Genomic DNA, 25,088 nt, shown 5'->3' with positions numbered 1-25,088 from the left:
CTAATGAAACAAAAACTCAGAATGAAACTTGATGCATACAATCTGGAATGAGTGAAACATTTTGCTCTAAACTATTTCATGAAAAGAAAAATTTCATATAATTCTGGTAAATAATAATGTTCTCCAACAAGGCTGCTTACCGAGCAATAATGCTTATTGCATATCCAATATCTTTAGAAAAAGGGCAAATGTAGAATGTATTTATTATAGAATCATTAGCTTTTTGAAACAATAATTACTTTACTTGGTAGCATACATTTTTACTTTTGAGAGACTTATTGATGGGAGCCAATGGGAAAGATGTGAATTTTTGTAGTAATTTATAAAATTCAAAATCATAGCTGTGGGGTGACCAAGGAAATAGTTATAGTTCCCACTTTTAGTTGGGACTTTTGAATTGCTTTGCTCCTGAAAGGTATGTGCCATGAATTGAGAGGAGGGAGGAGCTTACCAAAGAATTTGAGATGAATAAAATCTAACCTAGTCAGGACACATTTACAGAATTTTTTTTGTTAAAAAAAACTGTAGAAATGAAGGCTTGTTATTCTCATTTCCATTACATAAATGGTTGCTCAAATGTGAATTTCTAATTTATCATAGTTTATGGTGATACATTAAGAGACTAATGTGTCATTTGTGTTTTGATTTCTACATTCTAGAGAGACAGTTTAATCAGTCCGTGACCAAAATCAAACAGAGTAAACTGTGTCATCATGGAGATCTGCCCAGGAAATCCCCAAAATACAGAAGGATCAGAAGTAGATGGAAATAATGTCATAGAACGTCTCTCACAACTGTGTTATAAGAATGACAGGGAAGCTACAGGTTACAACAGATTTGTGAACTCAGCCAAGCACAGTGGTGGCAGGGCCTAGCTGCTACAAAGAAGACATGTTTTAGACAAATACTCATGTGTATGGGCAAAAAACTCGAGGACTGTATTTGTGACTAATTGTGTAACAGGGTATTTTAGTTCCTGTTCTGTGGAAAGTGTAAAGCATTCCAACAAAGGGTTTTAATGTAGATTTTTTTTTGCACCCATGCTTTGATTGCTAAATGTAATAGTCAGATCGTGACGCTGAATAAATGTCTTTTTCTAAAAAAAAAAAAAAAGAATGACACATATTTGTTCTTCATTCTTGTTTCACATTAGTAGTGGCATTTCTCATGCTCTATTTTCCCAGCCTTGTTCTATATTTTGAGTTATGTGAATAAAAGTATGCCAGGATGCAATAGGAAGGGTGCTTAATATTCATCCTTGTAGGTTCAGGGAGATCTTTCCATGGAAGTAACATTTGAACTGAGATCTAAAGGATGAATAGGAATTATTCAGGCCAAGTGGTAAGTCAGAGAAAAGTGCTTGCTTTAGATAAACGACTGTATCTATATTAGAGACATAAGAGAGCATGACATGTTTGATGAAATAAAATTAATTCCAAAAGCCTTACAGAAAGTAAAGAGGAAGAGTTCATACTATTGGGATGCAGCAGTTTGCAGGGATCAGATTATGAGGGTTACTTTAAATCATGGTAAGGGTTTTGGAATGTGGCTTAAGTGGACTGAGAAATCAATAATCGATTTGAAAAGAGAAGAAAATGATTAGATTTGGGCTTTGAAAATATTTTTGTAGTTGCTGTGGGGAAAATGGATTGAGAGAACACAATAACAGAGGCTAGGACACCTATGAGGAGAGAGTAGAAAAATTAGAGTGGTCTAGATGAGAAATTAGGCAATAATAGAGAAGATAGAAATGGGTAGATCCAGAGGTATTAACAGAAGTAGCAGGAATGGAGCACAGTAACTACCTTGGAGCAGGGTGAGGCAGAGGCAGGATTGAGGATGTCAGCCAGGTTTCTGACCTGGCCGACAAAATGGTTGGTAGTGGCTTTCACTGGAGATAAAAAGAAGATAGAAGGACCTGGGAGTAGGAGTTTGGGGGTTGTGGGAAGAAGAAATCACGATGAACAAGTTAAGTTTCAGGCACTGGAAGGACATCCATTATGAGATACACAGTGAGTAGCTGGGTATCTGAGCCCGAAATTCAGAAAAAAGATCCAGACTGGAGTTAGAAATTTGTGAATCATCAGCATAAAGATGGCAGTTGAGGAAAATAATCTCATACACTGAGGGAGAAGAAAAGTGGAACTCCAGAAGAGAAACGGAGGAACACCACTCTCGAGGTTCGAGAGAAAGAGGAGGAGCCCCTAAAGGAGAAATCCAGATGTGTGTGGTTTTATGGGAGCCAAATTAAGGAAATGCTTCATGACAGAGCATTAGCAGGGCCACATACTGAACTATCACCTGAGACAAGTAATAAGAAGTATCCCTTGGATGGTGGTGCATTCATTGCAATCCTTGGCAAAATGAGTTTTAGTAGAAGAGCAGTGGTGACAGAAGCCAGATTGCCTGAGGTTGAATGCTAAACAGGAAGTGAGGATGTAGAGATAGTGAGTGCGGATGACTATTTAAAGAATGTTCGCTACAGAGAGGAGGAAGAAGATAGCAGAGTAGCTACAGGGGGATGTGAGATTGAGAAAGGAATTTTTTAAGATGGGAAAGAATTGAGCATGTCTAAATGCTAATGGGAGAGAGCAAACTGAGGTGCATAGTTAAAGGGAAGAAAATATAATATATTGAATAAGGTCCCTGAAAAATTGGGTCTTTTAAAAAATCACTCTACTGACAAGCTGAGGTAGAGGAGAGGTCTTACAAAGGACTAAACCCATCAAACCTCACCCCCTTCTGCCTTAAGCAATAAAAGAGAATGGTTTCAATACACTTCTTCTGTCTGATAAGAAAGTATGAGAGATACCATGGGTTTGGTTCCAGACCACTAAAATAAAAAGAGTATCATAATAAAGCAAGTCACAGAAATTCTTTGGTTTTCCAGAGCCAATTGACTCAGTATAAAGTTTTCTTTTTATGGTTCAGGTAAGTTTATAGATTAAATCCCAAGACCTGAGGGAATTTTCACCACATGCCTCTCCAGAATTGGTGTATAGTCTCCATAGTTACTGACGTAGGCTAAAATAGTTGATTTCATTGTGCCCTCCCCCTCCCATGCCATGTTTTTTCTTTCTTTTTTTTTTTTTTGAGACGAAGTCTCACTCTTGTCCCCAGGCTAGAGTGCAATGGCACGATCTTGGCTCACTGCAACCTCCACCTCCTGGGTTCAAGCAATTCTCCTGCCTCAGCCTCCCGAGTAGCTGGGATTACAGGCGCCTGTCACTATCCCTGACTAATTTTTGTATTTTTAGTAGAGATGGGATTTCACCATGTTGGCCAGGCTGGTCTTGAACTCCTGACCTCAGATGATCCAGCCCCCTTCAGCCTCCCAAAGTGCTGGGATTACAGGCATGAGCCACGGCGCCTGGCCGCCATGTTTCTTACACTGGCAAAAGGATCTTCATCTGGGTGATGTACAATGATGGTTATGGTTTTAAATCTATGCTTGCTACTGCAGTGACAGTTCTGTGATCCAAGAATAATCATAAGAATATTGCTTGTGCTGGGCCCAGAGAATATGTAGGCATATCTTGTTTTATTGTGCTTCATTTTATTGCACATCACAGATACTGCATTTTTACAAATCGAAGGTTTGTGGCAACCTGAGTTGAACAAGCCTATTGGTACATTTTCCAAAAGCATGGGCTCACTTTGTTTCTCTGTTTCACATTTTGATCATTCTTATAATATTCTAAGTTTCATTATGATTGTATCTGTTGTAATGATCTGTGATCAGTGATCTTTGATGTTACTATTGTAATTATTTTGGGTGCAACACTGTACCCACGTAAGATGGCAAACTTAATTGCAATAAGTGTTCTGCCTGCTCTGCTGACTGGCTGTTCCCTATCTCTTTTTCACCTGGGTCCTCCATATTCCCTAGACCATACCAATGTTGAAATATAGGTCAAGTAATAACCCTACAATGGCCACTAAATGTTCAAGGGGAAGAGTTGCACAGCTCACTCTAAATTAAAAGCTAGAAGTGATTCAGTTTAGTGAGGAAGGCATGTCAAAAGCCAAGACAGGCTGAAAGCTGGGCCTTTCACATCAGTTAGCCAAGTTGTGAATGCAAAAAAGAAAACATTATTGAAGGAAATTAAAAATGCTACTTCAGTGAACACACAAATGATAAGAAAGCAAAAAGGCCTTATTGTTGACATGCAGGAAGTTTTATTGGTCTGGATAGAAGATCAAACCAGCCACAACATTCCCTTAAGCCAAAACTTACTCTGGAGCAAGGCTGTAACAATCCTCAACTCTGTGAAGTCTGTGAGAGTGGTAAGGAAGTTGCAGAAGAAAAGTTGAAAGCTAGCAGAAGTTGGTTCATGAAGTTTGAGGAAAAACACTATCTCCTTAACATAAAAGAACAAAATGATGGCCGGGCGTGGTGGCTCATGCCTGTAATCCCAGCATTTTGGGAGGCCGAGGCCGGCGGATCACGAGGTAAAGAGATCGAAACCATCCTGGCCAACATGGTGAAACCCCATCTCTATTAAAAATACAAAAATTAGCAGGGCATGGTGGCATGTGCCTGTAGTCCCAGCTACTCAGGACGCTGAGGCAGGAGAATAGCTTGAACCCGGGAGGCAGAGGTTGCAGTGAGCCGAGATCGTGCCATTGCACTCCAGCCTGGGTGACAGAGCAAGACTCCATCTCAAAAAAAAAAAAAAAAAGAAAAAGAACAAAATGAAGCGCAAGTGCTGATGGAGAAACTGTAGCAGTTGTCCAGAAGATCTAGCTAAAATAAATGATGGAGGTGGCTCCACTAAACAATAGATTTTTCAATGGAGACAAAACAGCCTTGTATTGGAAGAAGACATCATCCAGGACTTTCATAGCTAGGGACAAGAAGTCAATGCATGGCTTCAAAGCTTCAAAGGACAGGTCAACTCTTTTCTTAGGGGCTCATGCAGCTGGTGACTTTAGGTTGAAGCCAATGCCAATTTACCATTCTGAAAATTCTAGGGCCCTTTAGAATCATGCCAAATTTACTCTACCTGTGCTCTATAAATGGAACAATAAAGCATGGATGGCAACCTATCTGTTTACTACATGGTTTACTGAATATTTTTAGCCCACTGTTGAAACCTACTATCCAAAAAAAGGAGATTTATTTCAAAATATTACTGCTCATTGACAATGCACTTGGTGACCCAAGAGCTCTGGGAGACTTGTGCAAGGAGAATAATGTTGTTTTTATGCCTGTTAACACAACATTCTTTCTGCAACCCCTAGATCAAGGAGTAACTTTGACTTTCAAGTCTTATTATTTAAGGAACACATTTTGTTAGCGTATAGCTACCACAGATAGCGATTCCTCTGTTGAATCCAGACAATGTAAATTGAAAATATTCTGGAAAGAGCTCACCATTCTAGATGCCATTAAGAATATTTGTGATTCACAAAAGGAGGTCAAAATAGCAACATTAACAGGAGTTTGGAAGCAGTTGATGCCAACTCTCAAGGATGACTTTTAGGAGTTGAAGATTTCAGTATAAAGTAACTGCAGACATGGTGGAAGCAGCAAGAGAACTAGAATTAGTGGAGAGTCTGAAGATGTGACTGCATTGCTGCAATCTCACAGTAAAACTTGAATGGCTAAAGAGTTGTTACTTGTAGATGAGCAAAGAAAATGGTTTCTTGACATGGAATCTGCTCCTGGTGAAGACACTATAAACACTGTTGAAATGACAACAAAGGATTTAGAATATTATGTAAACTGAGTGTATGAAGTAGCAGCAGGGTTTGAGAGGATTAACTCTAATTTTGAAAGAAGTTCTGTGGGTAACATGCTATCAAACAGCATCACATGCTACACAGAAACCTTTGTGAAAGGAAGAGTCAATCAATGTGGCAAACTTCATTGTTTTCTTATTTTAAGAAATTGCCACACATAGCCACCCCACCCTTCAGCAACCCCCACCCTGATCAGTCAACAGCCATCAACATTGAGGCAAGACCCTCTGCCAGCAAAAAGATCATGGCTTTCAGAAGGTTCAGATGATTGTTAGCATTTTTTAGCAATATTCAAAAATTAAAAGATATAATTCTATTGCACACTTCGTACACTATGGTATAGTGTAAACTTAACTTTTATATCCTCTGGGAAACAAAAAAAATTATGTGACTCACTTTATTGTGATATTTGCTCTATTGCTATGGTCTGGTACTGAACCCACAAGATCTCTGAGGTATGACTGTATTGCCTTCATACTCTTGTAAGAATTATGCAAGGTGGATATTATTATCCTCAGCTTACAGATAAGTAATAGCTCAGAGAAAATAAATAAATTTCTGCAATCAAAGAGCTAGTAAATGGCCAGGCACAGTGGTTCATGCCTGTAATCCCAGCACTTTGGGAGGCCAAGGCAGGTGGATCACTTGAGGCAAGGAGTTCAAGACCAGCCAGGCCAACATAGCAAATCCCATCTCTACTGAAAATACAAAAAAATTAGCTGGGTGTGGTGGCACACACCTGTAATCTGAGGTACTTGGGAGACTGAGACAGGAGAATCACTTGAACTCAGGAGGTGGAAGTTGCAGTGAGCTGTGAGCCAAGATTGCACCACTGCACTGTAGCCTGGGTGACAGAGCCAGACTCTGTCTCAAAAGAGCTGGTAAATCACTGAACTAGCACTTCACCTAGGTTTATCCATTTCAGATGATGAGCACCAGTGTAAAGTGCTCATTTTCTGAAATAGACAATGTTTTGCTTCAAATTACCCTCATAGCAGTGTTATGTTTTACAACTAATTTTCTCTGTTACACAATAGTGAACAACCCACAGTGGGAGATATTGGTATTGATATACAAAAGAAAGAGAGAGCTGATGAAAAACTAGATCCAGAAATAGATCGATGGGAAAAACAAAGTAATAACTTTCAGCACCTATGTACTCCTTTACCTTTCCCATTTTCTCATGCCTTCATTTATCCATTCAGTAATACCATATTTTTAAATTTACAGAGAAATTTTGTCCTCATGGAGCTAAAATTACCCAATTAGGTACTTAAATTACAATTATGGTAAGAGATATAAATGAAAGGTTTAGAGACTTTGGGGGATGATAACAGGAGGGATACAAGCCAGTTTATGAGTCAACCTAACGTTTCCTTGAGGAAGTGATAGTTGGGCTGACCTTTGAAAAATTTGTAGGAATGAACCAATCCAATGAAAACTGAAGAAAGGAGCTTTGCTTTTTGCAGAGGAAATTGCCCATGTGAATGTCCACAAGCAGAATGGGAAATGACATAAGGCCAGTGGGGTGGAGCCCAAAGGGTAAGCAGGAGACTACAATCAGATAAGGCAGATAAGGCAGGCAGGGGTCAGATCATCCAGGGCCTTATATGACACATTGAGTCTTTAAAAAAATTATTATTGTTTTACCTACCCAAGATCTATCCCCTCTTTTGTCAAGTAATAACACTATGATTTATCCTTGGAAAGCCAACCTTCAAACCACAAGGCTCAGGTTCTCTATCTTTAGCTACAAAGCTGGGCATTTTTTTGGGGGGGAAGAGGGTATTTTTCTGTAGCCCAGGCTGGAGTGCAGTGGTGTAATCTTGTCTCACTGCAATCTCCACCTCCCAGGTTCTCGTGCCTCAGCCTCCTGAGTAGCTGGGATTACAGGAATGCGCCACCACACCTGGCTAATTTTTGTATTTTTAGTAGAGATAGGGTTTTACCATGTTGATGAAACTCCAGGCTGGTCTCAAACTCCTGACTTCAAGTGATTCTCACCATCAGTCTCCCAAAGTGCTGGGATTACAGGCATGAGCCACTGTGCGCGGCCTAAATCTGGACATGTGTTAATCCAGCCTTGGCCAGTTGGAGAATAATCCTCCTCTCACCATAGAAATTACTAAGAAAGGAAAACATACAACCCAAGCTAGGCCAATAAGAACCAATAAAGTTAGTTCTGGGCCTTCTGCTTGTGTTGTTGGGGAAAAGTATTCCGTTTGTGCCGGGGATGCTGATGTGATGGGATGTAAACCTAATACTACTAGCAGCCAGAAGGAAAAAACTCATTTTCTCAAAGGAAATGCCTTTTCTGTGGCGTAGACAACACAGAGGATAGAGGAGCAGAGAGATAAGAGGTAAGTCAAGTTGACATCATTGAGCAGATCTACTCCATAACTTTTTAGTTTTATGAACCAGCAAATTTCTCTCACCAAACAAGCCTGTTTGAGGTTTTTTTAGACACTTAGATCTGAAAGAGTCCTGATTTGTATATTTTTTAAATGGGTCAAGATTTGAAGCGTTGTAAGTAACAGACCCTTAAATGTGGAATTGGCTCAATTCAGGTAGTAAAGAGGCAATGAGGATCCTTCTTTCTTTAGCTGAGAAATTGACACAGATGTTGATTAACCTGTCTTTTATATCTTGGGGCTCAGACCATGTGTCCACTGAGGCCGAAGATTAAAGGATGTATATGAAAAAAAGCCCCAGAAATGTGTTTGTTCCTTTTTGTAGGGTTTAATGACGTCCTACATGCAAGAAACAGCTGCATTAAAAGCTGGCTTCTCTGGAAGCAGTAAAAACACTAAGAGCAGCCCTTTCGCCCTTGTCCTGATAGACAAGCCAGCCAAAAGTCAGAAGCATTTCTGCTTCACTCTCATCTAAATTTAGTGTTAGCAAAGGCAGGGAGAGTAGAATAAAATTGGAAGCTATGAGTGAAACTAGGAATTCTGCCTACCTGGGGAGACAGAGCACTGAGACTTAGAAGACAGAAACAACAAATTTGGAATTTGGAATCAAGGATTAGAATGCAATACTAACTCAGTTTTGTTGTAAACAAACTGAATTTACTTGAAACAGATTGTAGAGTTTAGTAAACTTTTAAGGAACAGAGGTTTCCAGAGAAATGCAAATACCCGTAAACTGAGTGCTATGATTGCTCAACCCCTGAGGCAATACTCAGTCAGGATCCTAAATCTATACCAACAGAAACAGCACTATCAGTAGGGTATGATAACCAGAAAGTGGGTATCCCCAGTGCCTTTGGCAGCTGTGACCATAAAGGACAAGCAACAACGGCATCCCAAAAGACAGAGCCAAGAGCAGACTGAAGGACTGACCAAGGAATTTGCCTCAAGACCAGGACAAGGGGTTGTTGCTGCTCCTGTCTAGCAGGATAGTATATATGCTAAAGAACGGTGATCATTTTCTGCCACCTCCCACCCAAATCCCCTTTTTCAAGTAGGAGTTTTTATGATAGTTATTTTGTTTCCTCCAAATAAATGCATATTAGATTTCTTGGAGATGGTCAAATGTATCATTTAAAGATAGGTTTTTGGACCATGAGAAAGGCACAATAACAGTAGAATCTGGACTCAGGCTGGATGCAGCAACTGAATAAAACTGAAGTGATGCTGATACATTTTTTTTGATTACATATGATATTACTGTTTAATGTAGGCTTGGGTTTTTTTGAATTTTTAGGTAAAGATATAGATACATGAGCTTGTGCAGCCAAGAGGTAAACTGGAATAAATATGTGATTTTGGCCTATTCAGAATCCATTTCTCCTAGGTTCATGTCTGATTTTCCCAGAGAAACTATTCCTCTCCCTACGTTTATTACATGTGACTAGGTGAATTTGACTTCACGTCTAGCCTCAAGGCCAACATTGACACAGCCCTGGATAGTCAGAACATTGTATCCCTGTGATGTTAGTGATTGATTTATTGTGGATATCTGAATCACAGGATCATAGCTAAATCAGTTAAATCAGAGAAAATGAGACTCAGTTCTTTGTTGGGATGTTGCAAACATAAAATGTAAGCTTAGAGTTTCTAGCATCTATCATGAATGAAGAACCCACCTGACAACAGAGCTAAAATAGACCAAATGAGAGCTGGAAAATGCAGAGTGAGATGGAATCCTGGTGATATCATTTGAGCTCATTTTTCTAGCTAAACATGAAGATGACCTATTTATGCAAGTTTTCACTATGCTAGTCAATCCGTCTTCCACTTCCCCTTTTTTTGGGGGCAATCTACTTTTTGTTGGGTTTATGTCCTTCCCAACCTAAAGAGTCTTTAACCCAACAACAATGGGATGTCATGAAATGGATGTAAGCAGGGTTGGGATGTGATCAGATTTGAGATTTTTAAAGAACAAATTTTGAGTAATTAATCTTGAATGAACACCATCTAACTCTCTAAAAGTCATAAATAAGAATACTCAGTCAGCTAGTCAGTTGTACCTATGTTTGTACCAAATGTTTGTAATGAGACCAAATCTAACTCTGCTTACATTTGCTATGAGAGATAATTGTGTAACATGATCCAACAATAAAATATCTTTCTTATTGAAGACTTTTAGGAAATATAATTTTGAGAAAATGAGTCAGTTTTTAGTGACTTTTTGTATAATCCTGAAAAAAATTCAGACATAATTTTTACCTTAAAAGAAAGTTGCATTTTGTTTTCCAAACAATGTTACCACCAGTTTACCACTTTCTAGTTATCTCTTAGTTTTTGGAAAAGTCACCAAACTTCTTTAAGCAGATGACACAACTCCTTTAAATACATTTTTTCCCCAGAGTTATTAGAAACAATTCTATCTCAATGTATAACTGAGAATAACTTACTCCTTAGAATAAATCTCTATTGATATGATTATTCCTGGGAGTTTCATATATCTTTTACTGAATGCATTATTGCAGATATAAAGTAAGCTCATATTAAAGATAAAAAATTGTCTCCTCCATTTTATTGCATTCAAGCTTTTCTATTCTTCTGAGGTCCTAGAAAATTGAGGTCTCATATTTATAGAAATATGTGTTAAACCACATAATTTAATTATCAACATTAGGTCTAATATTTATGAAATCGGTTGTAAAAATCACATAATTTCATTATCATGAGAAAAACCTAGAAAGTTCTGATGCTATAATGCCTATCTTGGCTTCCCATCATAATCTTTTAGTGTCAGGATACTAACCCACGTATATTTTGGCTTATTACTTACCTTTCAGCCCCAAATGCTTCTTGCCACAAGATTTCCTTCTCTGTAACAATGTCTTTTTTTTTTTCTCTGTAATTCTCAAGACATTTTACTGAGGAAGAGTGATCTAAAAATCTGGGTCATTGCTGAATGATTGACCAAGAGATATTTGCATAAACAATTCTCAGAGAGTATTTCAGGTAATTCATTGTACCAGTTTTTAGAAAAAATGGATTGTAAATGTAGCGTAGAAATATTCTTGAGACAGCTTATTCAACAATCTAATTGCTTACTAATCTAGATTAATGTTTTCCTTTGAGCAGAAGCAGAGGCTCATAAGCATGAAGCCTAATTTACTGTTTGACAGAGTCTGATATTCAAAAGCAGGCTTATGTGGCTAGTTATAAGTGACCAAGGTTTGGGGTAACCCTCTTGTGGTTTTACAAGTGATTGTCCTTAAAAATCTAAGTTTCTTCATGTGAATCCACATATATATTAGTGAAGACTCCAGCTTAGAAAGTAATCTCTCCACTCCCCATTCTATTTTAACCAGTATCTAAGCATAAGTTTACCCTCACATACTCATAATGTCATGGTCCTAGGGACACCTGCCAACTATTTCAAAACATGGAGGAGATTGTCTGGCTTCAGTGAGACAAATGGAATTTAGCTTAGAAAACTGATTTTGTAAGTGCTTTTGTTTCTACTGTGCTTCCTAGAATCTCATTCAAATATATTTTTCAATAGTGCGGTTACTATTTACTGATCCCTAAGAAAGATAATCGTATTACTTTTTAGAAAAGAAATGTTCTTATCACATTAGGTTAAGGTCAACTTATACTCCAATTACTTTTCATTTTAGCATAGATTTTTCCATCTGTTTCATGGACAACTCTTTTAGCCAAGAAAAACAACCTCAAAGGCAAATATTTTACTGAAATGTCTGGTTTTCTTTAGAGAAGTGTAAACAATTGAATTTTCTGTTTCATAAAAAAATAAAATTATGATTAGAGTTTGTGATAAAAGAGACATGCCATTTCCCTTGGGCCAAAAGTGAGTTCAGAAACTGTCCCTAAACAGCTTACGTGAGGGATTAGGCTACACAATTGGATCAACTTCTCTTCTTCCACAGAGGGAAACAGAGTAAGTTTTCTTATTTTAAAAATGCCAAAGATTACAACTGAAAAAGATATTTATGTATAATTTCCTTCTTGGAACTAGTTAACAATCCTTCTCAATATAGATACACCTTAGAAATCAATAATATAAGACTATGCTGGGAGTGGTGGCTCATGCCTATAATCCCAACACTTTGGGAGGCTGAAGTTGTAGGATTGCTTGAGCCCAGGAGTTCGAGACGAGCTGGGAAACATACTGAGACCCTGTCTTTACGAAAAATTAAAAAAGTAGCTGGGCATGGTGGCATGTGCCTGTAGTCCCAATACCTTGGGAGGTTAAGGTGGGAGAATCACTTGAAGTGAGCCAAGGCCATGCCACTGCACACCATTGTGGATGACAGAGTGAGACCCTTTGTCTAAAAAATTAAAATAGGCCGGGCGTGGTGGCTCATGTCTGTAATCCCAGCATTTTGGGAGGCCGAGACAGGTGGATCACCTGAGGTCGGGAGTTCGAGACCAGCCTGACCAACATGGAGAAACCCCATCTTTACTAAAAATACAAAATTAGCGTGGCATGGTGGCACACGCCTGTAATCCCAGCTACTCGGGAGGCTGAGGCAGGAGAATCGCTTGACCCCGGGAGGCGGAGCTGAGATTGTGCCATTGCACTCTAGCCTGGGCAACAAGAGTGAAACTCTGCCTCAAAAAAAAAAAAAAAATTAGAATATATCTATATAAGACAAATAGAGTCAATATCTATGTGAGATAAATGAATGTTTTTATTTTATTTTTTTCCACATCCTTTTTGGAAGTAGATACTTTTATCCATAAAATATAAGATCTCGTTTGTAATCCTAGCACTTTGGGAGGCCAAGATGGGTGGATCACCTGAGGTCAGGAGTTCGAGACCAGACTGGCCAACACGGTGAAACCTCATCTCTACTAAAAATACAAAAAATTAGCTGGGCGTGGTTGTGGGCGCCTGTAGCCTCAGCTACTCAGGAGGCTGACGCAGGAGAATTGCTTGAACCCGGGAGGCGGAGGTTACAGTGAGCCAAGATCGCGCCATTGCACTCCAGCCAGGGTGACAAGAGTGAAACTCCATTAAAAAAAATACATATATATATATTTAAAGCTTCTATTAAAAACCTTGCAACTTTTCCATGCAGCTATTTTTTTTAACAATTGTCATTGAATAGAGAATATATACTCCTGTTTTGTACCTTTATAAATTATATTAAGCAATTTTTTAGTTTATCAAATTCTATTTAATTATTCTGCTTATTAGCATACTTGCTAGGTATACCACCCTATCATTTGATGAGTATATACTCAGAATTGGTCATTCTTGAAATATCGGAAATACAGCCCTCAAAGGTTTTAGAAAAATCCCAACAAAAGAGCCACGAATCAGAAAGGGTCCCAGGAGGAAATAGAGGGCATATTCACATTATGATAATTTGAGAAGGGTTTTATATAGAAATATTACAGATGTTTGGAAAATGTTTATAGGAATCACAAAGGGGAATGCTATTATCACCCCTAGGCTCAAGGGGAAAGGTGAGAAAATGGTTACCAGAACCCAGGAGGAAAGAGATGTGTAGTTTATCCCACCTTGAAAGGAATTATGATGTTAGGATGGAGGACAGTGCCAGTCTGAGGTGATGCCACAGCAAAGGAATCAGGGGAAGAAATATCCCACATTTATTCTTGGCCCTCTCTGTGATCCATTGACAGGGCTTCTTCTGGGCTACACTGCACTGCCTGATACGATAGCCTGGTCACAGGTGTCTACCGAAATGTGGTTTTAGGTGTAAAATACATCCCAAATGTTGAAGACTTAGTATGAAAAAAGAATGTAAAATATCACCTTAATAATTTTATGTTAAATAAAAATGGTATCAATAGTATGGACATATATATTTGATATACATTATTATTAAACATTAACACATATTAAATATGTATATATCAATATATGTAATATATTGATATACACATATTATTTTTACCTGCTTTTTAATTTAAATCATAACTATTAGAAAATTTAAATTTTTAGAAAATTATTAAAATTAAAAAACTATTTATACATATATCATTCCATATCACATAATATCATACCATATCACATAATATCATACCATATCACATAATATCATACCATATCACATAATATCATACCATATCACATAATATCATACCATATCACACAATTTCTCCTGGACAGGACTAGACTAAATCTACTAGAAAGTAGAGGATGTGGGAGTCTGTTGATATAGTTAATTACAGGCCAGCTTCTGGAGCACAGAAAAGGTTGGAGAAGGAGGGTGAGTAACCCAGGAGAGAACAACAGAGATGTTAATAAAGAACACTAAACCTAGACAGATTTACCCTAAGTAAGTGGACATTTTTCTTGGTGATTTCTGTTGTTGGTCTGTGAAATAATTTGTTAGGAAACTTGTCAGGACATTCCATATTACATGAAGACTCATATATATATATATATTTTTAAACAGCATTGAGGGTGGAATACATAATCAGCTGAGTCCTTTCCAATTGTAACTTTTAACTTTTATGTGTGCTCCATTTTGCTAAGCTCCGAGTATAAATTGAAATTCATATATTATGGAAGTATATGTAGGTCTTTAAGGGACAACTATAGCAGGCCTGACAAGTAGAAGACACTTTATTTTTTTCTTTTTTTTTTTTTTTTTTTTTTTTTTTTTGAGACGGAGTCTCGCTCTGTCGCCCAGGCTGGAGTGCAGTGGCGCGATCTCGGCTCACTGCAAGCTCCGCCTCCCGGGTTCACGCCGTTCTCCTGCCTCAGCCTCCCAAGTAGCTGGGACTACAGGCGCCCGCCACTACGCCCGGCTAATTTTTTGTATTTTTAGTAGAGACGGGGTTTCACCTTGTTAGCCAGGATGGTCTCGATCTCCTGACCTCGTGATCCGCCCGCCTCGGCCTCCCAAAGTGCTGGGATTACAGGCGTAAGCCACCGCGCCCGGCCAGAAGACACTTTAAAAAACAAATTTATTTTATGAGATGGAGTCTCAACATGTTGCCTAGGTTGGTCTTGAACTCCTGGACTCAGGCAGTCCTTCCACCTCAGCCTCCCCAAGTGCTGGGATTACAGGTGTGAGCCACTGCGCCTGGCCTAGAAGACATATTTAAAAAATTTTTTGGGGGGGATGGTATCTCTGAGATTTGATTAACCTTTTTTTGAAAAATATTTGTTTAAATGTAGGCATTTATCTTTTTTTAAGTAAATATTGATTGGGTACCTTTTACGTTCCCTCACTAAGCTTATTGTCTAATATAATATTAGGGAAGAGATATTTAGCAAGCAAGCAAGCAAATAAATATTAATTTTATGTTTTATATATAATACATAAATTATTATATATATTTTTGAAGAAAGAAAAACAAACTAATGTATAATAATGACTGGAGTGTGATTATGGGGTCTTATTTTAGATTAGGATGGTAAATTAGTTTTCTGTTGCTATGTAACAAATTATCATGAACTCAGCCATTTAAAAAACACTCATTTATTATATACTGCTTTGTAGATCAGAAGTCTGGCATGGTATTGCTGGGTTCTCTGCTCAGGGTCTCACAAGGCTGAAATAAAAACTCTGCTTCCAAGCTCATTGCTGTTACTGGCAGAATCCAGTTCCTTGTAGTTGTAGGACTGAGATCCTTGCTCCTTGCTGGCTGTTAGCCAAGGGCTACCCTGGGCTCCAGTAGCCTGCCACATTCCTTGAATTCCTCCATCTTTGTCAGCAATGGCATGTGATAACCGTCACAAACTTCACATCTCTGACTTCTTCAAACAGCCAGATAAAATCAAGTTTTTTTTTTTCTTTTTTCTTTTTTCTTTTTTTGAGCAGAGTTTTGCTCCTGTTGCCCAGGCTGGCGTGCAATGATGCGATCTCGACTCACTGCAACCTCCACCACCCCGCTTCAAGTGATTCTCCTGCCTCAGCCTCTCAGGTAGCTGGGATTATAGGAGCCTTCCACCACACCCAGCTCATTTTTTATATTTTCATCAGAGATGGGGTTTCACCATGTTGGCTAAGCTGGTCTCGAACTCCAGACCTCAGGTGATCCACCCACCTCGGCCTCCCAAAGTGCTGGGATTACAGGCGTGAGCCACTGTGCCTGGCCAAAATCAATTTCTTAAAGTATAAGCCCCATTTTTATTTTTACTTATTTTTAAATGAATAAATAAAAATTGTATATATTTATGGTGTACAATATATTTTGATATATGTACACATTGTGAAATGACAAAATCAAGCTAATTAACATATCTACTACCTCACATATTATTTGTTTGGGGTGAGGACATTGAAATCGACTCTTTTAGCAATTTCCAAGTGTATGTTACATTGTTATTAATTATAATTGGCATGCTATACATTAAATTAGCTGAACTTGTTATCTCTTGTTTTTTTTTTTTTTAAGATGGAGTCTCACTCTGTTGCCCAGGCTGAAGGGCTGTGGTGTGGTTTTGGCTCACTGCAACATCCATCTCTTGGGTTTAAGCAATTATTCTGCCTCAGCTGAGTTGCTGGGATTACAGATGCCCTCCACCATGCCAGGTTAATTTTTGTATTTTTAGTAGAGACGGGCTTTCAGCCTGTTGGCCAGGCTGGTCTCAAACACCTGACCTCAAGTAACCCACCCTCCTCTGCCTCCCAAAGTGCAGGGATTATAGGCGTGAGCCACCATGCCCAGCCTCTCTTGTCTCTTTGATATAGCCGTTGTAACAGCTATGAGGTCGTATCTCACTGTGGTTGAGAAAATTTATTTTAAAGGGCTCATATGACTTGGTCAGTTCCACCCGGTTAATCTCTTTATTTAAAGGTCAATAGATTTGGGACCTTGATTTCATCTCCATACTTCCTTTACAGCAATAGCTACATTAGTGTGTTTTACTGAATAACTGAGAGATGTGTGTATATCAAGGCTAGGAACCTGGAGGGTCCATCATGGAATTCTTCTTGCCAAGGATGGTTAAGAAAGCAAAAGGCTTTCTGAGGCATTTCCGTTTCAACGAAAGCCTGAATGATGAGAAATTACCAGACATATAAAGATCTGGGGGGTGGGGCTGAGGGAAAGAATTATCACTAGACATGTGCATTACAAATGGTGAATTCCTAAAAAATTTATAATGGAATATCAATTCAAAACTCTGAAAGCTTCTGGAAGTATACAGACCATTACATATTAGAATTTAATAATAGCTGTATACCTACGCTTGCTCTACAAATGCTGAATTTTAAACATTGAAGTTTAGCAAATAGTAGTATATAAAGAACAACTCCTAAAGGATCTTATACTTTCTATACTTCCCAAACTTTCTACTATCTTCCTCTTTTTCTAGGCACCAACCTCTTGTTTATATTCTTCATGTACCTTTTTTTCCATCTTCCTCTTCCTTTAATGTCACATGGTCTTAATCACTATAGTATGCTCATATTTATGCCCTTGCACAATCTTTCCTGTGCTCTCATGTATCTAGAAGAATCCTTTTAGATATCTATCTTTAGAGAGTCAGCACTCTACCTTTAATCAAAAGCCTGCTCTAGGCAAAACTAGGAAAAATGTTCTTTCACTGTCCTTTGATCTTTCCTTTAAGTTCTTGTTGACTTCTTTCTACCACCTTTACTCTACCAAGCAGCCAAAGATCTCAGGCCTCCTCCTCCTTTTCCAGCATTAATGCTCAGATTCAGCTAGCTCCTACTGGACACCTTTTACATATGTTAAAGTTTAAACAATTGATGAGCAGTTTCATGTGTGCAGGGGGTGTCTGTATTTTAACACTGGACAATTGGTTAATTCATAGGACTGAGGATTTAATCATGAAATCTTCAGAATAACCAGGTTAGATGCCAACCATGCTCAATGTCCCTATGAACTGTCCTGCTCAGGAAAGCAGCACCAGGCTCTTTGTATATTTCTTGTGTAGAGTCAGACAGTAATTTGACGAGAGTCGGTACCTGGTCAACTAAGATTCACCCATAAAAATGCTGATGAAATGGATTGGTACAAAAGGTTCTGCCCAAGAAAAGTGAGACAATGAGCAAAGCCAACCAGCCTATTCCCTTCCGGAATTTTAACTGGATATTGCTGAGAGAAATTCCTAGTAAGGGTGTAACAGCAGGATGAGAAAGCTAGTCAGGAAAAACAGCGACACTACAGGAGAGAGACCATGTGGGTAATAAAAGAGAAGGGAACTGGGTTCCAGGTGTTTTGATTCTTTATTGCCGCATAACAAATGAACCCAAAACTTAGTGCTTTAAACAATCATTTTATTTGCTTATAATTCTGTGAATCAGGAATTTAGGCAAAGTGTAGTTGGGTAGTCCTGCTTCTCTTGGCACTGGTTGGTGTCATTCGCTCAGTTGTGCTTATCTGGTGGTGGAGCTGAAATGGAAGTTCCGAGAAAGTTTTACTCACAGGTATGGCCCTTCTGTACTCCTTCACACACTCTCTCTCTCCATGAGGTTAGCTCAGGCTTCCTCCCTGCATGGTGGACTCAGGGTAGTTGTTATTTCTTGCATGGTTGCTCACTTCCAATAGAGAGCATTCCAAGAGGGAGAAAGCATATAGATCTCTGAAGGCCTACTCTTAGAAGTTCCATAATCACTTTTGCCACAATCTATTTGTCAAAGTCTGTGACAGGGCCAGTCTAGATTCAAGGGGAGTGGAAATAGATTTCACCTCCTGATGAGAGGTGTGGCAAGACTTTGATGACATCTTTTAAGTTACCACATCAGGATTATCTTGAAGCCATATGGCTTAGTAGTTCTTTGTCTTCATACTATGCAAATAGAAGGTCCCAGCAGATAGTATATTTTGGAAGAGAAGATAAGATTAGAGGATTTTTCAGTGCCCCTTAAGTCAAAATCTGCTGATGACTATGTTCATTAGCAATGGTTTTCTTAAATCATGTCATACAATATTCCTCTACTCTAGGGATATAAGTACTTAAACTGTCTTTAAAACTCTGCTAGCAATTATTTTTCTATGGAATCTCCATTAAAATACCTTATTAAGTTAGTAGAACAAATATATCAAACTAAAAAATACAAAAGAGATCTTTATGAAAGATTTCTTTAAAAATTTTTACAGAGCAGAGAAAAAAGAAGACATCTCTCCTGTTTCCCCAACGATAGTAAGAAGTATAACAGAAGGGAATATGTGTTGAAAAGGGGATATTAAAAGGGTTATTCATTTTATTTTGCCCAATTAATCAGGTGATATACGTATAATATATATGAGTAAATGTCTTTCTGATTTATCTGAAATGAAGAGAGCTTTCCAGAATAAATGCTGTTTTCACATTTAATGGGCTAAAAGTATATCCAGAATGCCTATAGCATATGTCTCAGGTGTGTGGCAGAGTAGTGTAGGGTGAGGGCTAGGTAAAAATTAGGACAAGAGGCACACACAGTGGCCAAACTGGTATGACGTAGGGTGAAAGGGATGCTTCTGTTAATTTGTGGGAAATAAGACCCAAAGCACTTGAAGACAAGAGGAAAGTCACATTAGAACTAGAAGTTTTCGAACTTGCCTTTTTTCTTTTACAAATAACTGCAAGAGAGGTTGAGGAACTCACTCAAAGTCACAATAATTACTTGGGTATGAACATTTGACAGTATGTATCTGCCACATCACATATGCAAGTAATATTTTGCACTTTCCAAACATCCTTTCTGGTTCCATTACCATATTTTAAGATCTACTTCCCTTGTGTTTCTCTATTTAAAGAGGGCTTTGATCTTAACTTTAGGACTATTTCGCCTGTTTTATTATTTATTTATTTATTTTTGAGACAGAGTTTTGCTCTTGTTGCCCAGGCTGGAGTGCAATGGAGCGATCTTGGCTCACTGCAACCTCTGCCTCCCAGGTTCAAGCAATTCTCCTGCCTCAGCCTCCCGAGTAGCTGGGAGTACAGGCACCCGCCACCACACCCGGCTAATTTTTTGTATTTAGTAGAGGCAGGGTTTCACCATGTTGGTCAGGCTGGTCTCGAACTCCTGATCTCAAGTGATCCACCCACCTCGGCTTCCCAAAGTGCTGGGATTACAGGCATGAGCCACTGTGCCCGGCCTTATTTCACCAGTTTTGAAAGAGATTTTATCAAACTTTAATGTGCAAATTCTGATTCAGCAGGTCTGATTAATTAGGCCTGAGATTTTGCAGATCTCACAAGCTCCCAGGTGATATTGGTGCTTGTCTGTGGACCACACTGTGGAATAGTAAGGAATTAGGTTATTGGGGTTTCAAAACTTGACCCTAAAATATTTGTGTAAATCATCAGGAAATTAATATTAGGTATAAATGCCAAATGAATTCTACTTTCTCAGGCTAGCCAAAGATTTATTCAAGGAATATTTATCAAGACCTTACAATATGCTAGTCATTGTTCTATTTAGAAAAGATGAACTTTTGTACTGTCATTTCTATTGTTATAATAAAATAAAGTGCCAATTAAAAAAAAATTTTAAAGACAGTCTTGCTCTGTCGCCTAGGCTGGAGTGTAGTGGCATGATCTCGGCTTAATGCAAACTCTGCCTCCCAGGTTCAAGCGATTCTCATGTCTCAGCCTCCTGAGTAGCTGGAATTACAGGTTCTCACTACCACACCTGGTTAATTTTTGGGTTATCTTCGTAGAGACGAGGTTTCACCATGTTGGCCAGGCTGGTCTCGAACTCCTGACTTCAAGTGATCCACCCGCCTCTGCCTCCCAACGTGCTGGAATTACAGGTGTGAGCCACCACACCTGGCCTAGTGCCAAATTTTTTCCTACTTAGACATCACTTTTTATATGCTCAAGCAGAGTTGCTTTCTGATGTACTGTGGATATAGGTTATATATACTGAAAGAAGTTTTACAGTAATAGCCTCCTTTATTCTATCAGCATACTGTTCAAATTCCTGGAACTTGGAAATACTTTTGGAGATTACTTTCAATTAAATGTTTCAATAAAATATTTGGCCAATTAAAAAGTGGAAAAACATATTTACTTTTAATCCCAGGGAAAAACCAGCATGTATTGGATGGTTCAAGTACCATCAAGTATTGAATGGTACTTGAACTTGTTAAATGTGCACAAAATGCTTTGTACAACCCTTGAGCTAGGATCACTGATTTGCTTCCACAGCTGCCCCATGTGGCTTTTTGTGACATAACCCAGGTCAGGCTGACCTGCCAAATAACTAACATTGATAAGTGCCGACCAGAAAATGTGAGCTGAATTATTCGGTACTGTCTTCCCTCATTGCAAGGGCATCAACCTCAGCATTTATTAATCTAATGTAATGCTCACTTTGTAATTAACCTGGGAGCTACATCAAACATCTAATTGTACCTCTGACAGCAAAAGGGTAAGTTCTGTTGAGCCTTGAACCTCTCTCAACATGTCTCTAGGAAGTGCAGTTTTGTAGCTATCAGTTGGTGGCTGCAAGAGAAAAAAAAATAGCAGTCATGCTATTGCAACAGTGATTACCCCAGCCTCTTCTTTCAGTTAATGAAGTGTTGAAAGTTCAAGACCCAAGTTATTGGTAGAACTAATGAGAACCAAAATACTATTAATACTTGCTGGAATGAATCTTTTAGGATTTAAAGCTTATTCAAAATCATGCTTTGATAGGACGATATTTTATATGCATTTCCTCGTTTGCTATATATTTGTGCATGCATATCTTTTTGTCATGTGAAGTATAAGCTACTTGAGAGCAAAGATGGTGCAACTTGTTTCTATACTGTGCCTGTATACAGCTTTGTGCATTACAAATGTTCAGGACTGCTTGGTAAATAAAAACAGAATGCAATCTGTGTACTTAACTTCTTTCTTAGCACCAAATTCTTTCTGCTTATTACTAAGAAGTTTTCCTGGTCCATTCTCACCTTCCTGGATTAGAAAATTAGAATAATTCCTGTAAGAAGTTTAGATTAATTCCCATGATTCCCCGACTGACTTCTCTAGAAAAACCAAGAAGTGTAGATTACCTAAAATGTCTGAAAATCTTCTGGGGCAGTCTAGATAGACCTTGAATAATAGGAATATAGCAAGAGGCATTATGGAGGTGAACTCTTTTCAGTAGTGGTTTCAAGAAAACCAAAATTTACTCTTCAGCTTCCCTTCAATCATATATGTTCTATGAAATTCAAAAAGTAATATATCTGGACATAAATTTACATAATTTTCCTGAAAAAATATCCCCACAACACTAATATTACATTGTTATATAATATGTGATGATAGAACTATGGCACTGAAGATGTCCTCAAAAAATATTAGCCATTGACTATTCTGGCTGCGTCTAAATTCTGGCCATGAGACTATTCTGGAAATGAGTCTAAATATAGACCCAAGCCCCACAATATTAAAAGATGTGCTTTAATTTGATCACCCTTAGAACTAACTGTTCATTGTATAAAAGCAGTGGGTTAAAGAGAACCAATAATCCCTGATGATCAGCTAACATCACTGCATGCCAGGTACTGTATTAAGAACTTCATATGCATCAACTCATTTAATCTTCATGATATCCCTATAAAGTAGGCATAAGTTTTCTACCCACTTTACAGATGAGAAAATGGAAGTGCAGAGAGATATTAAGAAATTTGTCCAAGGATACTCAACTAGAAGGCATGTAAGGGATTCAAACCCAGATTGACCTAGCTCTAGAGTCTTTGTTCTAACCTTTAGCACACTATGTGGCTCTTCTAAACCAAGCTTGCTTTAAATGACAGATGGAAATAGAAGTGTTGCCAGTTCCAAAACCACACTATATAGGTGCAAACCTAAAATACATGCTTCATCAAATTGGCATAAACAGCTTTTCTAATCATGTAGATATTATTTTCATTTCTTGAAAAGATGCTTTATTACAGCAGAATAGACTGAGGAGTTAGTTATACAGATTAAATATAATTTCATATGGATAGTCTGCAGAAGTGAAGAGGAAATTCATATTTTGTCGACACTCCAAAACTGTATTCAGTTTGGTAGACTTTGCTGCACTCCATGCCCTGTCATAAATAGAAAGCAATTAACTAAACTCTACTCTTGTAACAATAGCAATGGGGACTTTAAAAGGATAAACCGGCTGGGCGAGGTGGCTCATGCCTGTAATCCCAGCACTTTGTGAGACTGAGGCGGGCGAATCATGAGGTCAGGAGTTCGAGACCAGCCTGGCTAACATGGTGAAACCCCTTCTCTATTATAAATATAAAAAATTAGCTAGGCGTAGTGGTGGGTGTCTGTAATCCCAGCTACTTGGGAGATGGAGGCAGGAGAATTGCTTGAACCCAGGAGGTGGAGGTTGCAGAGAGCCAAGATCACGCCACTGCACTCCAGCCCAGGCGACAGAGTAAGACTGTCTCAAAAAAAAAAAAAAAAAAAAAGGATAAACCTCACTCCATCCTGTTCATAATCAAACAAATTACCTTCTCCTTATGCTTACATGACTTTACATAGATGAATCATCAAATGGATGCCATTTTTAATTATATATACTCCACTCATCGCTATGTTAGCATTTTTCTTCCTGTTCAGTCTTAAGGCTTGAAAGATATTATACGTGCTTATATTGATGTGCATTATATAAACATGTCATTATTGCTGAACATCTTTCTTCCTTTCTCTTTTTTAAACTATAAATATTCTGAAATGACCATCTATACACAGCTTGCCTGCCCTCCTTCTCTCCCTCCATCCCCCTTTCTTCATTCCTCTCACCTCCCTTTCCCTTTCTCTTACTCTTCTCTTTTGTTTTCTTTATTTTCTTAAGATAAAAAGTGATCAAAAGATAAGAATATTTTTGTGACTCTTGAAACCTGTTGCCAAATTATTTACCAGGAATATTGTACCAATTTATGCTGAAACCACCAATGTATAGGAGCATCATCCCTTTTCATATTTGCCAGAGTTGTTCATTGTAATTTTAAACTGAATGTAATGATAGAATGCTTCCTCATTAAGAAAAAATCCTCCTCTTTTAGGTAGGGTTCCTTTTAAAGGTTTTCAGTTTTTAGATTGTTAGAGAAGTAAATCTTTCAAATAATTAAAACACATTCAGTTACCTATACTTCTCTTTTTAGAGATAGACTACCAAAACCAGTCTATTCTCCACCATATATGCCTAACACACAAGACACATTGCTATATCTGTTAAATTACCCCTCCTTGCTTGTCCACTCAAGATATTACACAACTATCTTAGTGAGACAAAAAAAGTTCTCCTGCGTTAGCTTATTTTTTTATTTAATTAATTTTTTTTAACCACAGGCTTAATTTGCATTTAGAGGTTCCCATTTCTTCCTCTCAATGTTACCCAATAGATACCACAAAGTAACTGCTTCTGTCCAGACTGGCAGTAGAGAACTGTTGTGGTTCTAATGATAAGAAGAGCACTAACCTCTAAAGAATTCAGGGTTCTTATTTGCAGAACTAATCAATAATTAGTAATAATTTGGTTTTACACACTCTCTCTTTGATGAAGTTGTAGTGGAGAAGGATGATGGACAAGGGTTGAGCAAGGTAGCTTATGCTACATAATTTTTTTTGCTTTTTTTAAACAGCTTTGGAATTTATTTATTGCAAGATTTTATGTTATTTTTAATTTTGAGAAACTTTTTATTTTGAAAACTGCAATCCTACAGGCAGATTACAAGAATAGGACAATGAACATTGTAGATTCTCCCTCTACATTCATGAATTGTCAACATTTTGCCATATTTACTTTGTCTCCTTTTCCTTATACTACGTTTTTTCCCCCTGAAAAGGCTGAGAGTAAGTTGCAGACATCTTACCCCTAAATACCACAGCATATATCTCTATCTCCTATAATAAGACATATATATATAACCTACATACTATATATATGTATGTATACATATAACTACAATACCATTGCCACTCAGACTATTTATCATTAACATAATACTATTATTTAATATATAATCCATCCATATCCAAATGTCCCTGATTGT

General features: G+C 38.1%; 1 protein-coding gene across 1 annotated transcript in view; it reads left to right on the top strand.

The window, feature by feature from the left end:
• The window catches only part of LOC124900868 (uncharacterized), a 33,749-nt gene extending 32,633 nt beyond the window's left edge, over positions 1 to 1,116 (top strand). The window contains exon 3 of the mRNA XM_047416559.1: positions 660 to 1,116. The gene's annotated coding sequence lies outside the window, so the exon portion shown is untranslated. The remainder of the gene's footprint in view (positions 1 to 659) is intronic.
• The last annotated feature ends 23,972 nt before the right edge of the window (positions 1,117 to 25,088 follow it).

Source organism: Homo sapiens, chromosome 4, assembly GCF_000001405.40.
Source record: "Homo sapiens chromosome 4, GRCh38.p14 Primary Assembly".
Lineage (NCBI taxonomy): Eukaryota > Metazoa > Chordata > Mammalia > Primates > Hominidae > Homo > Homo sapiens.
The sequence above is the reverse complement of the archived record's forward strand: the minus strand, read 5'-3'. Positions and strand labels throughout refer to the sequence as shown.